Below are 12,649 nucleotides of genomic sequence, written 5' to 3'. Positions count from 1 at the left end.
TGGCCTGCTTGGGAGCACCCTCGATTGCAGCTGTTGGAGAGCCAACGGTAATAAGAACTGAACATTCGTTTGCACTTTAGAGATTTCTGGAACAATGAGGGGTTGTGTGCCATGCGCTGAACTGTGTCCCCAGGCCCCACCAATTCTATGCTGAAGTCATCATCCTCAGGCCCTCAGAGTGTGACTGCATTTGGAGACAGGGTCTTTAAAGAGGCGATTATAGTTAAATGGGGTCACTGGAGCAGGCCCTCATCCAATAGGACCGGTGTCCTTATAAGAAGAGAAGATGATAGGGACACCAGTCCTATTGGATTAGGACACAGACATATTAGTGTGGGACAACCGTGTGAGGACATAGGGAGAAGGTGGCATCTACAAGCCAAGGGGAGAGGCCACAGGGGAAACCAACCCTGCTGACCTTGATCTCAGTGTAAGGAAATAAATCTCTGTTGCTTAAGTCCCAGCCTGTGGTACTTTGTTATGGCAGCCTCAGCAAACTCATATTTATTTATTTTAAAGACAGAGTCTCACTCTGTTGCCCAAGGTGGAATGCAATGGCGAGATCTCGGCTCACTGCAACGTCTGCCTCCTGGGTTCAAGCCATTCTCCTGCCTCAGCCTCCTGAGTAGCTGGGACTACAGGCATACGCCACCACGCCCAGCTAACTTTTGTATTTTTAGTAGAGACAGGGTGTCACCATGTTGGCCAGGCTTGTCTCAAGCTTCTGACCTCAAGTGATCTGCCAGCCTCGGCCTCCCAAAGTGCTGGGATTACAGGTGTGAGCCACTGTGCCTGGCCATATATCATACTTTAAAATTACTGGCCAGGCACAGTGGCTCATGCTTGTAATCCCAGCACTTTGGGAGGCCAAGGTGGGACAATCACTTGATCCCAGGAGTTTGAGACCAGCCTGGGCAACATGGTGAAACCCTGTTTCTACAAAAAATAAAGAATTAGCCATGCATGGTGGCGGCTTCTGTAGTCCCAGCTACTTGGGAGGCTGAGGTGGGAGGATCGTTTGAACCAGGGAGGTCGAGGCTGCAGTAGCCATGTTAGCACCACTGTGCTCCAGCCTGGGCAACAGAGCAAGACTCAATCTCAAAAATTAAAAAAAAAAAATTAGTCCTTAAAGAAGGTTCTGCTTGGGCTATGTAACAATTGCTCCAAGGGCCTGAGCATATGCTGGAGTGGGAGAGACCATTTCCAGCTGGTCTGGAGCTTCATGGCTGCTGAGAGCTCTGGAGGGTTCTAAATGTTGGGACTTGTTTTCTCCCACCCCTCAAAAGAAATGAGGGGAGTTCCACAGAGATACAAAGTGATGTGGGGGGGGGGGGCATTTGCTGACTGTAGATGCTGGCATCTGGCTTTTGCGCATTTGCAAAGCAGGTTGGGAAGGAGGGCAGATCTTGAGGGTCTAGCATCCCCTCAGAGGGGGATGTATGGGGTGGAATGCTGACATGGCCTCCACATTTCCGCCCCTGATGGATGCATCCTCCTCCCAGTTATTCAGTCAGATACAAATCTAGGTGCTGCTGTGAAGGGGTTTTTCAGATACAGTTAAGACCCCAATCAGTTGCCCTTAAGAGAGAGGATGATTAGGCAGGGCGTGGTGGTACATGCCTGGAGTCCCAGCCAGCACTTTGGGAGGCTGAGGCAGGAGGATTGCTTGAGCTCAGGAGTTTGAGACCAACCTGGGCAAATGGCAAGACCTCATCTCTACAAAAAAATTTAAAAAATTAGCTAGGTGTGTTGCTGCACACCTGTAGTCCCAGCTACTCGGGAGGTTGAGGCAGGAGGATTGCTTGAGCCCAGGAAGCCAAGGCTGCAGTGAGCCATGACTGCACCAGTGCACTCAGCCTGCGTGACAGACTGAGACCCTGTCTCAAAAAAAAAAAAAAAAAAAAAGGTGGTTCATCTTGGTGGGCCTGACCTGATCAGGTGAGCAGGTGAGACTGTAAAGAGACTGGACCCTCGAGACGGGAGAGATTCAAAGTGTGGGAGGATTTGACATGTCAGAGCTTCTCCAAGGCTGGCTTTGAAGATGGAGGGACCACATGACAAAGAGGGATGGCACCTTTAGCAACTAAGGGAGGCTCTGACCAGCAAGAACACGGGGACTCAATTCCATGCTTGGAGGACCTGGATTCTACTGCATGCAGTTGAGGCTAGAACAGGTTTCTGAGCTCCAGATGCGAACACAGCGGGAAGACACCTTGATTATAGCCTTTGTTTATTGTTATCATCATCACCATTATCATTCTTTCATTTTATTTACATTTATTTATTTATTTATTTATTTTTTGAGAGACAGGGTCTGGCTCTGTTGCCCAGGCTGGAGTAGAGTGGTACAATCAGAGCTCACTGCAGCCTCCACCTCCTGGGCTCAAGCTATCCTCCTGCCTCAGCTTCTGGAGTAGCTGGGACCACAGGCACGCACCATCATGCCTGGATGATTTTTATTTTCACTAGAGGTGGGGTCTTGCTATGTTGCCCAGGCAGGCCTTGAACTCCTGGGCTCAAGTGATCCTATCACGTCAGCCTCCCAAAGTGCTGGGATTCCAGGCGTAAGCCACTGCACCCGGCCCATTTTAGCCTTGTTGAGACCCTGGGTGGAGACGCAGTCATGCTGAGGCTGGACTTTCAACCTGCACAGCTGCGGGCTCACGAGGGCTGTGTGAAGCTGTGAAGTTTGTGGTAGTTTGTTATCTAGCATGGGAAACCGGGGACAGAATTTGGCCAAGTTCCCCCAGCGTGTGAGTGCAGAGATGGGGCCATGTCTCCCCTGTTCAGCTCAATTCTGTTGCCAGCAGCGCTTCTGTTTGGAGAAGACCCTCCCCATTGCCCCCATTGCCTTGGGTCAGGGTTGAGCTGACGCAGGGAGGGCTGGCCAGGGGCTGCTGCAGTTGCCCCAGAGAGAGGAGGTGGCCGGACGCTCCAGTCCTTCTCCCAGCCATGGCTTGGCTGAGCTGGTGCTTCTCCAAGTGGCCAAGGGAGAGGAAGAGAAACCCTTCTGGGCTAAGTCTGGGGGTCCCTGGAGAGAGTGGGCTGGTGGCACGTAGAGGGACACAGTCCTGGGAGTGGGTCCAGAGTGCTGAGATTTGTGGGGGTCATTTCACCTCCCAGAGCCTCGACTTTTCTTATCTGTAAAATAGGGATTAAAAACACGTTCCCCACAGCATTACTGTGAGAAGGCGGGTGGGGACGCCCTTTGCGAAATGAAGGGTTGACCTGTGTGATCCGGTTCTGCCGATGCTCCGGCCATGCGTGTGACCGCTGGCTGCTGTGGTTTTTCTCTGCATGTGCCGGCTGCTGTGGTTTTTCTCTGCACACGCTGCTTCTTCTGAGCCTTCAGGTCTCAGCTGAGAGGCCTCCCCCTCTGAGACCCCTTTGTGACTGCTCTGTCAAAGTTGCTTTCCTGGAGACACCTACTGTCCCTGTGGGACTCACCACGGTGCAGATTCTGTGTGACATTTGTGTGTTCCTCTGTCTGTCCCCTGCACTGAGTTACAAGCTCCTCAAGGCCAGGGCTGGCTGTGGCTTTCCTCACCAACACTCTGGGACAGTCCTTAGTGTGAAGGAGACACTCACTGAACACCTGTGGTAAAAAAAAAAAAAAAAAAAAAAAAAAGCACACACACAAAAACACCTGCCAGCTGGGCACGGTGGCTCACGCCTGTAATCCCAGCACTTTGGGAGGCCCAGGTCAGCAGATCACTTGAGGTCAGCAGATCAAGACCATCCTGGCTAACATGGTGAAACCTGGGTAAAAATACAAAAAAGTTAGCAGGGTTTGGTGGCATGTGTCTGTAATCCCAGCTACTCAGGAGGCTGAGGCGGGAGAATCATTTGAACCTGGGAGGCAGAGGTTGCAGTGAGCCGAGATCACACCTCTGCACTCCAGCCTGTGTGACAGAGCGAGACTCCGTCTCGGAAAAAAAAAAAAAAAAAGAAACACAGCTGCTGTGTTGGTGGGACTGCCCCTATTCAGCCTGTGCAAAAGTCCCACCAGGTTCTGACCCCCTGAGGCCAGGGACCGGGAAAGCTGGAGGCTCCCCAGCCAAGGGCAGGCCAAGCCCTGGAGCTGCCCGGGCCTGGGCACCCCTGGAACCCAGCTTCCCTCCCTCTTCCTGCTCTAACTCACAGCCACTTGGTGTTTTTCCACGAGAGGCGGGAATCAAAGTCTTCGGGGCTTTGAAGCTACAGAGCTAATCATTTTCAACTAATTAAAACACAATTTGCAAATATTGCTGGCAGGAGCATCCTGTCTCTGCCAGGGTTTGCAACCTGGGTCCCACTCATCTGGAAAAGAGCGTCTAGGGCTGGAGGGAGGCCATGTCCCCTCCCTGGGCCTCAGGGTCCTCAGCTCACAGCCAGTCCCATGGGTCCTGGTTTCTGAATACCCCGGGGGAGCCACTGCTCAGCCTCTGTGTGGCCACACCGGCCTCATTGCAGGGGCCCCTGCTGCCACCCTTAACCCGGGCAGTCTCCTCCACACAGCGGTCAGAGTGGCCTGTTGGGGTACACAGCAGGCCCTGCCACATGGCCTCCGCATTCTCCAGCTGCTCCCCAAGTCTTCACCGTGGTCTTTGGGGGCCTCAGGGCCTGAGCTCCGGCTCCTGGCCTCCTCACCCTCCCCAGGGCCTCCCCACCCCACTGGATCCACCCCAGGACTTGCTGTTCCCTGGGCGAGCACAGCACCACCCTAGGGTCTTTGCACCTGCTGTGCACCCCAAACTGTGGGGAACAGTTTTGCCTTCTCACCAGGCTAAGGTCAAGGCGAAGGACCCACTTGTCTCCCCCATGGCCAGGGGTGGGGGAAATGCCTGAGTGTCCCCAGTGCTCAGGGAACCCCCTCTCTGGCTTCTCAGCTCCCCACACTGCTTCCCCAGGGAGGTGGCTGGGCTATGGGTCCAAAGATGAGCTCACTTTGGAAATATGGAGGTTCTGGAAACCTGCCTTTTCTTCTTCCCCTTCTTCCTCCTCCTCTTCTCCCCTCCTTCCTCTTCTTAGCAGCCTCTTCTTCTCCTTATTTTCCTTTCTTTTTTTCTTGATGATGTCTTAGGGCTTCTGATGACAGAGGCAGAAGGGCTCCTCTGAGGATGGCTTTTAATAGATACTCACAGTCCACTGTATTCCGATGTCCCTGTGGCATCCGTTTGTGAAGGGCACCCCGTCTGTGTGTCTGTCCAGGCTTTCTCTGTCCCCCAGTGGGGTGGGGCTGGCCATTTGTTGCTGAGTCTTCAGGGCCTACCTGGACGGCCTCAGTGGGTATATCTGGAACACATGAATTACCAAGTCTACGAAATGGGCTTAGTGATGCTTCCCCTCCACCAGCAGCCTCACAGGATTCACAAAACCACCTTCAGCTGGCTACAGTTTGTTGACACGGACTGGGGCCGGGCACTGTGCCTTTTGTGCCATGGTCCTGGTCTCATTGGTGCTGCAGCTTTGTAGAGCATGAATGATCCCTGTTTTACAGCAAGGAAGTTGGGTGAGGATCCAGGGTGGCGAGCAGGGCAACGCACGTTGCAGGATCCTAAGTTCTCCCTCTTGGCGGCTGTTTCCTGTAAACCCAGGATCTGGAAGTTTCCATGGTCAGGGCCCTAGAGAACTTGGTGTCCGCCCCCAAGCTCTGAGCTCGCTGCATTGTCAGGACCTCTTTCCCTCAATCACTGCATGGGTGGGTTCCTCTCACTGAGGGGTAGGGGCTGGGTCACCTCGTGGCCCCAGGAGACGCGGGGGAGGCATTCTGTCCCAGGTGGAGATGGAATGTGGGAGGGGTTGTGTTTGGGTCTAAGCAGCACTAAACAGGGTGAGTTCCAGTCCTGGGGGGAGGTTCTGGACGGCAGCTAACAGCAGAACCACTGCCTAGCGTTCTCTGGAGGAAGGAGCCTTAAAGAGCCTTCCCCTGGACGGGGTGCCCTGCGCTCAACCGGGACAGGCTGTTTCCACCTTCCCATCACTGCTGTGCTGAGGCCGTGCCTGTTTCGAGATGTCAGATGAGACAGGAACAGCTGCTCCAGTGGGTTGGGAATGTTTACCCGCTAAACACGGAGTGCCCGTCACCATGGCAACACCCCAGTCCTAGGAACAATCCCCCACATCTGCCCGGCACCTGGCATTTCTTAATGCACTGCCTCAGACATTGGCGCATCCAGTCCTCACAATGTCCTGGGCGTAGATTCTCTAATGGCCCCGTCCTACGGGTGGGGGACCCAGGCTGCGAGAGGTGAGAGGACTTGGCCAGGCTCTCACGGCAGGGGGCCGATGCAGAGGGGCTTCCTGGTGGCAGCCTCCACACCCTCATCAGGGACCCTTCGAGTTGGTGTGACCTGGTGCTGTGGAAACCCACGGCCTACTTTGGAAAGCACCACTGCTTGTTCTGATGACCCCAGAGGGGGCTGGTGCGGGGCCTGGGGGGTGTACAGATGGCTCCTGACCACTTCAGAAGGAGCCCAGTGCTGGGAATGCAGGGCGCGTGCAGATGTGTGGGCCATGGACAGGAATGGGGAGCTGGGCACCCACTCGGACCTGTCCCGGGCCATTGAGTCAGGCAAGCCTCCTGACTCCTACCTCATCCTCCTCATCTGGGGAGTGGGCTGATGTAAAGGTTGAATGGGCACACAGTTGGTGCTTCCCTCACCCGACCCTGCAGCCTCCTGCCCCTGCCCGAGCACGCACACCCTCCCTCCCCCAGCCACGTTCCTGAGTGCTCTCAGCTCCGGCCTGCCCTAAGTTGCTTGTGTGTCCCCAGGCCAGGCCCTTTCCCTCTCCCTCTCTGGGCAGGGCTGCTCCCACATTGCTGGGATGAGCTCCCTGGGTAGGAGGCTGTGCCCTCCGGGTCTGGCCTTCTTGGCTTCTGGTGTCCTGCTTGTCCCCAGCCTCGCCCGGTACTGGCCTCTCACTGGATAGAGCCAGTCGGGGAAGAGCACGGCTCAAGTGGCTGTCCCAGCCTTTGTCCTGGAGGACAAAGCCTGCCCTGCGCTGCTGTGGTGGCTGGTGACCCCACTAAAGTCACAGAAGCCACCGCTGTGGGCCTGCAGTGGGCACCGTCCTAGGTGCTGCTCATTGTCCACCAAAGCTGGCCGGGGTCCTGCTGGTCAACACTGTCGAAGGGGTGGGATTTGGTGCCCCTCTGTTGGGTGTGACGGTGGAGAAGGTGCACTGGGTCCTGGGCTAATGGGGCCAAAGAATCGGCTTTGTCCTCTCAGGCTCTCAGGGTGTCATTTTGCTGTGCTTGTCCAGGCAGCTGCAGGCTGGGTTGCAGGGTTACGGGGGCAGTTCCCACAATCAGGGCCAGCAACCCCACCTGTTAGTAAGCCAGGGCTGGTGCAGATCAGAACAGGGGAATGAGCCTTCTTCTCCCTTCATCCCCGAGGGTGAGTATCCCAGGACTCTCCTGGTATGACCTGCGAACGCCCCTGGGATATTCACCCTAAGGGATGAAGAGAGAGGGCCACGCTGTCCTCTCTGTGATCATATTAGACAATAAATGCAAGAGTGTGTTTCAGAACAACAAGACGCTGTTTCATGGGAGAAGCAGCAGAAGGGCTCATGTCAGATGGTGACGGAATCGCATTCACCTGCCAGAAGCTTCCCAGGCACCCTCCTGTGCCCCCCGCTGAGAGCTCCCCTACCCCCTCTGCCCCGACTTCTGGCAAGGAGAGATTACCAGCTCGCTCAAGTGTGACCCTGCCTGAGTCAGGCGGGAAGCTGTCAGGAACGGGCGCAAGTCTCATTTCCTCGCCGCTAACTGCCTGCCATATAAATGTCAGCCTGGCTGTTAAATGACCCTGGCGAAAGGGCTGCTCCATTAGGCAGAGGGCAGAGTGATGGCTGAGCAGATCCACACCAACAGCCGCGGTGATTGCTTCCGCCGCGGAGCAGGGCGACATTTGCGTCATCATTTGGTGGTCTCCTAGGAGAAGCTGCAAGCAATTGCGTGGGATAACAACCAGAAAAAACAGCCTAAATGACAGCACGGCTGCCCAGGCTCCATCAGAGGGGCTTTGGGGATGGGGAACGGCTGGGGGTTGGCCCAGGTGCGGGCGGGTACTGTTATTTCATTCTCCAAACTTGTGTTTCATCATTCATTCACTCATTCACTAGTTCAGTCAGTGTTTTTATCAGCAAAATTCTTTTTTTTTTTTTTGAGACAGAGTTTTCCTCTTGTTGCCCAGGCTAGAGTGCAGTGGCTCGATCTCGGCTCACTGTAACCTCTGCCTCCTGGGTTGCAGCAATTCTCCTGCCTCAGCCTCCTGAGTAGCTGGGATTACAGGCGTGTGCCACCACGCACAGCTAATTTTTTGTATTTTTAGTAGAGACAGGGTTTCATCATGTTGGCCAGGCTGGTGTTGAACTCCTGACCTCAGGTGATCCACCACCTCGGCCCTCCAAAGTACAGGGATTACAGGCATGAGCCACCTTGCCTGGCCTATCAGCAAAATTTGTGATTTTCACCCTTTTCTCTTTACTCTGTCCTTCATCTCTCACGCACTGTCCCTGAAGACCCTGCGTGCGTAGCAGCCCTCGAGGGGATCTCTTTTCCTCCCCCACGCCCCCTTTTCCTGGGCCTGGAGCTGGGACAAGGTTTCCCCTCGCTGCATGCTGCTTTTCCCAAATCATTCTCCCCCTCCCCAAAGCCCGGCTTTGAATCGCAAAACACCAGCTTGTACGACTCACTGCCCGGCTCTGGCCACTCCCTGCTGGTTCCTGCCGCTGCTTTTCCCATCTCTGTGACCTCTGACCACAGGCACGCCCCGCAGGCCCAGCCCTCAGGTCTCTTCTCTCCCTTCCCTCATTCCTCCCTGGAAGCCCCTCCAAGTGCCTGGCTCACATGCACCTGGCAGCCTTTGAATCCATCTCCAGCCCAGACCTCTCCCTTGACTCCTAAACTCACACATCACTGCCAGCTCCATGTACCCATCTGGGTGTCTGGGGGTGGACTCCCATGGCCCCCTCCACTCCTGCTGTCCCCCCAGACCTGCTCCAACCTTCCAGTGGCTCAAACCAAAAATCTGGGGGTCGTCCTTGATGTCTCCCTCTCTCTAACATCCACAGATGACCCACCTGCAAATCTGTCTGCAAAATACGTGGCCAGAATCAGGCCCCATCTTCCTACCTGCACGGTCTTCACCCTGGGCTGAGCCGTCCTCATGGCTTACTTGGATTTTTGCAATATCCCCAACAGGTCTTCCTGCCGTCCGGCACCCCCTGCTATGTGCTCCCCGCCACAGCACCTGCCACCCTTTAATGCCTGAGTCTCATGTAAGCAGCTGAAACTTGTTCAGGAAAAAGCCACATCCTTGTTGGGGCTATAAGGTCCTCCATGATCCAGCCTCTTCCCCTCCAGGTCAGTCACAATAGGGAGGTGAGGGAAGGAGCTTTGAGGCTGCCTAGGGGTGGGAGGGGGCAGGAGGAAGTGGGGCGTCAGGGCCTCCTACAAACTTTGGCTTTACTATGAGTAGGTGAGGAGGGAGGTGGTCGGCCCCTGAGATGTGGCTACACTGTGGGCCATGACTGGAGAGAGACTGGGGATGGCGGGGGTCGGGGACAACCTAGACTGAAGACAGGGACCTGGGCCAGGTCAGGGAACATGGTTGACAAGTGACTGGATTTTTTTTTTTTTTTTTTTTGAAATGGAGTTTTGCTCTTGTTGCCCAGGCTGGAGTGCAATAGTGCCACCTCGGCTCACTGCAATCTTGCCTCCTGGGTTCAAGCGATTCTCCTGCCTCAGCCTCCCAAGTAGCTGGGATTACAGGCATGTGCCACCACGCCCAGCTAATTTTGTATTTTTAGTAGAGATGGGGTTTCGTCATGTTGGCCAGGCTGGTCTCAAACTCCTGACCTCAGGTGATCTGCCCACCTTGGCTTCCCAAAGTGCTGGGATTACAGGCGTGAGCCACTGCGCCCGGCCACAAGTGACTGGATCCTAAAGAAATCTGCAAGTAGACCTGAAAGTATTTTCTGATCAACTGGACACAGGGTATGTGAAACGGAGGAGTGCAGAGGGATCCTGGGCTTGCAGCCACTGACAAAGAGTGGTCCTGTCACTCTAGAATCCAGTCACTTGTCACCGTGGTTGCTGGCCTGGTCCTGGCCCCCGTCTTCAGCCTCCATGGTCCCCTCACCATGCGCCCCATCTCCACAACTCCAAGGCTGTTGGAGGTCTTTCAAGGTGACCTAGGCACCTGCCATGCACAGTGGGTGTCCAGTACACAGGGATGAAGGCCTTTGTTCTGTGAATGTTGTTTTGATCTCGCAGGGCTGGTTAAGGATGAAGTGAGGTGATAGCACATCGGAAACTATGGTTCTCACCTTCCTTCTGCCCAGTCTGAGAGGACTGCCTTTGTGTCCCCAGGGTCTGGAGGGCAGGTGTCTCCCGGACAGCCAGGACCACTTCATCATTGGTGGGGTGGGGTCAGCATGAAGCAAGGGCCTCTTGCTTCAGAATTGCCACAGGCTGGGCACGGTGGCTCACTCCTGTAATCCCAGCACTTTTGGAGGCTGAGGCAGGCAGATCACTTGAGGCCAGGAGTTCAAGACCAGCCTGTGTGACATAAGGAGACCCCCCCCTCCCGCCGTCTCTACAAAACATACAAAAGTTAGCCAGGGGTGGTGGTGTGTGCCTGTAGTCCCAGCCACTGTGGAGGCTGAGTTGGGAGGATTGCTAGAGCCCAGGAGGTTGAGGCTGCAGTCAGCCAATTTCACATCATTGCACTCCAGACTGGGGAACAGAGCGAGACCCTGTCTCAAAACAAAGAAACAAAAAGAATGGTCACAAACCACAGAAGGCTAAGCACTGCACAGGCCCTGGGTAGCTGCACAGATCACATGCTTGTGAGGCCCACCCTGCTCAGTGTCTCGGGGCCTTTGGTGGTGTGGGGGATGGGCAGAGGGACAGCACGGAGAAGCCAGCCCCGTGGTTTCACGTCACCTCATCAAGCATTTGTGCTGGACAAAAATTGCCCTCCTTCCTTTTAGACCTATTTTAAGCTTGGCAGGCCCATGAATATTTGATCAGGAAATCATTTTCTCCATAAATGCCGGAGGTTGGAAGCTTTGCTATAGGAGGGGGCCTGAGAGTTAAGTGTCCCCTGAGTGATGGTGGAGGGGCTGGCCAGCCTGGAGGAGAGCAGGCTCAGGGCTGCGATGGCTGCAAACTGCTGACCTGCTCTGCTGGGCGGGGGAACCACGGGTCTGAGGCCTCTAGCATGGAGCTGGTCTTGGTGGGGCAGCCACGGGAGGAGGCAAATTCCCTTCCCAACAGGGGCTTGGGCTGGCCCTAGTCTGGAGGTGGGCTCCTTGTGTCCAGGTGTGGGCAAGGGAGGGGCATGGGAGGGGTGTCAAACCTCAGGGTGGTGGGTAGGTCAAGTGAGTCCTAAATATACCATTACAACTCCCAGAACCTCAGTATAAAAAAACCGCCCCTGCCATGCCTCTGCATGAAAAGTTCTTCTAAAAGAGTGCATTTGAGTGAGAAGTTGCCCCAAATCATATCCAAGTGCCTGCTACTAACGTCAAGATTCCCCACATCAATGGAGACCTGAGAGCTACTGATCTCTGCTTCTCTGCACGTGGCTGTCTCTGGGAGCAGCCCCAGTGCCTGAAGAAAACAGAGCCCCGCTCTGGGTTGTCCTCTGTGTCCTCCCCACACGGCTGGGAGACACATGCTCTTCTCTCCCCAATTTAGAGAACTGAAAATTAGCCTCTAGCTGCAGTGGGCAGGTCCACTGTGCCTTCAGGGTCAGCGTCTGCGAGGGCCAAGCCCTCTCCCAGTGGTCACAGGTCACAGGGCAGCCTGGTTGTGTCCCCACGCCCTGCATTGGTGGAGTTGGGAGTGGGGGCGCTGACGGTGTGTGCTTGTGGAGCCTGTGTCTCCCCATGTGCTGGCTGCTGCCTGCTGCTTTGTTTCTGCCCCTGTATCAGCGTCTCCATCCCATCTGCACACCCAGATGCAGTGAGCAGGGCCTCCTGGTGCCAGGGGGAGGCCGTAACAGCAGGATGGAAAAGGAGGGGCACCCCCACTCCCCTTTACCTGCCTTGAAATTTTTAGCTCTGAAGTTGCCTGCAAATACGGCCTCAAAGAGCCGCAGCCACAGTTTGGAGGTTGGTTGCCTGGAGGGGGTGCTGGGGTCTCAGAGTCTCCGGGCAAGGACAGGGGGCTGAATTGGGGGCCTGCCTGCTGCAGAGTGGGGCAGGGCCTTGCGAGGACTTGGGTCGGCAGCAGTGTGGTCACAGGCAGGACAGCCCGGCAGGGTGCGGAAGGAGGCGTCTTTTACCTCCCAGTTCATGGAGGCGGTTGGGCAGCTGTGGGCAGACAAGGACGCCAGCGCTGCTGAGGGTGAGCAGCTTCAGCCCGGGTATGGGTCCTCACTTGTCCTTACCGCAGGCCCGGGAGGGAGTATGACTGTTTAGGTCTCTGCTGCTTCCTCCTTGCATGGCCAGGTGAGGTGGCCTCTTGGGAGACCCCAAGTCGGTGAGGGAATTGGCACTCACAGAGGGAGGCTCCCGCAGTCACAGCCACACCTGGGACCCTTCTGCCACTCCCCAGGCCTAGAAGTCCGGGCTGGGCCCCACTCTAAGTGCTAGTTGACCTTGGGGAGATCTGGCTTCTCCCTGAGCCTCAGTGTCCTCATCTGTGCTATGG

The 12,649-nt window shown here is 55.6% G+C and overlaps 4 annotated features.

Annotated features, from left to right (window-relative positions):
• Nucleotides 6,506-7,200: an enhancer, noted in NCBI's record as "H3K4me1 hESC enhancer chr22:44992547-44993241 (GRCh37/hg19 assembly coordinates)". NCBI's record gives its function as "activates a minimal SCP1, AML or CMV promoter by ChIP-STARR-seq in naive H9 embryonic stem cells {active_cell/tissue: H9 hESC(naive)}" and the evidence as "EXISTENCE:reporter gene assay evidence [ECO:0000049][PMID:30033119]".
• Nucleotides 7,896-8,590: an enhancer, noted in NCBI's record as "H3K4me1 hESC enhancer chr22:44991157-44991851 (GRCh37/hg19 assembly coordinates)". NCBI's record gives its function as "activates a minimal SCP1, AML or CMV promoter by ChIP-STARR-seq in naive H9 embryonic stem cells {active_cell/tissue: H9 hESC(naive)}" and the evidence as "EXISTENCE:reporter gene assay evidence [ECO:0000049][PMID:30033119]".
• Nucleotides 8,591-9,286: an enhancer, noted in NCBI's record as "H3K4me1 hESC enhancer chr22:44990461-44991156 (GRCh37/hg19 assembly coordinates)". NCBI's record gives its function as "activates a minimal SCP1, AML or CMV promoter by ChIP-STARR-seq in naive H9 embryonic stem cells {active_cell/tissue: H9 hESC(naive)}" and the evidence as "EXISTENCE:reporter gene assay evidence [ECO:0000049][PMID:30033119]".
• Nucleotides 10,939-11,440: an enhancer, noted in NCBI's record as "H3K4me1 hESC enhancer chr22:44988307-44988808 (GRCh37/hg19 assembly coordinates)". NCBI's record gives its function as "activates a minimal SCP1, AML or CMV promoter by ChIP-STARR-seq in naive H9 embryonic stem cells {active_cell/tissue: H9 hESC(naive)}" and the evidence as "EXISTENCE:reporter gene assay evidence [ECO:0000049][PMID:30033119]".

This window comes from Homo sapiens, chromosome 22 (assembly GCF_000001405.40).
Source record: "Homo sapiens chromosome 22, GRCh38.p14 Primary Assembly".
NCBI lineage: Eukaryota > Metazoa > Chordata > Mammalia > Primates > Hominidae > Homo > Homo sapiens.
This window is presented reverse-complemented; position numbering and strand designations above follow the sequence as displayed.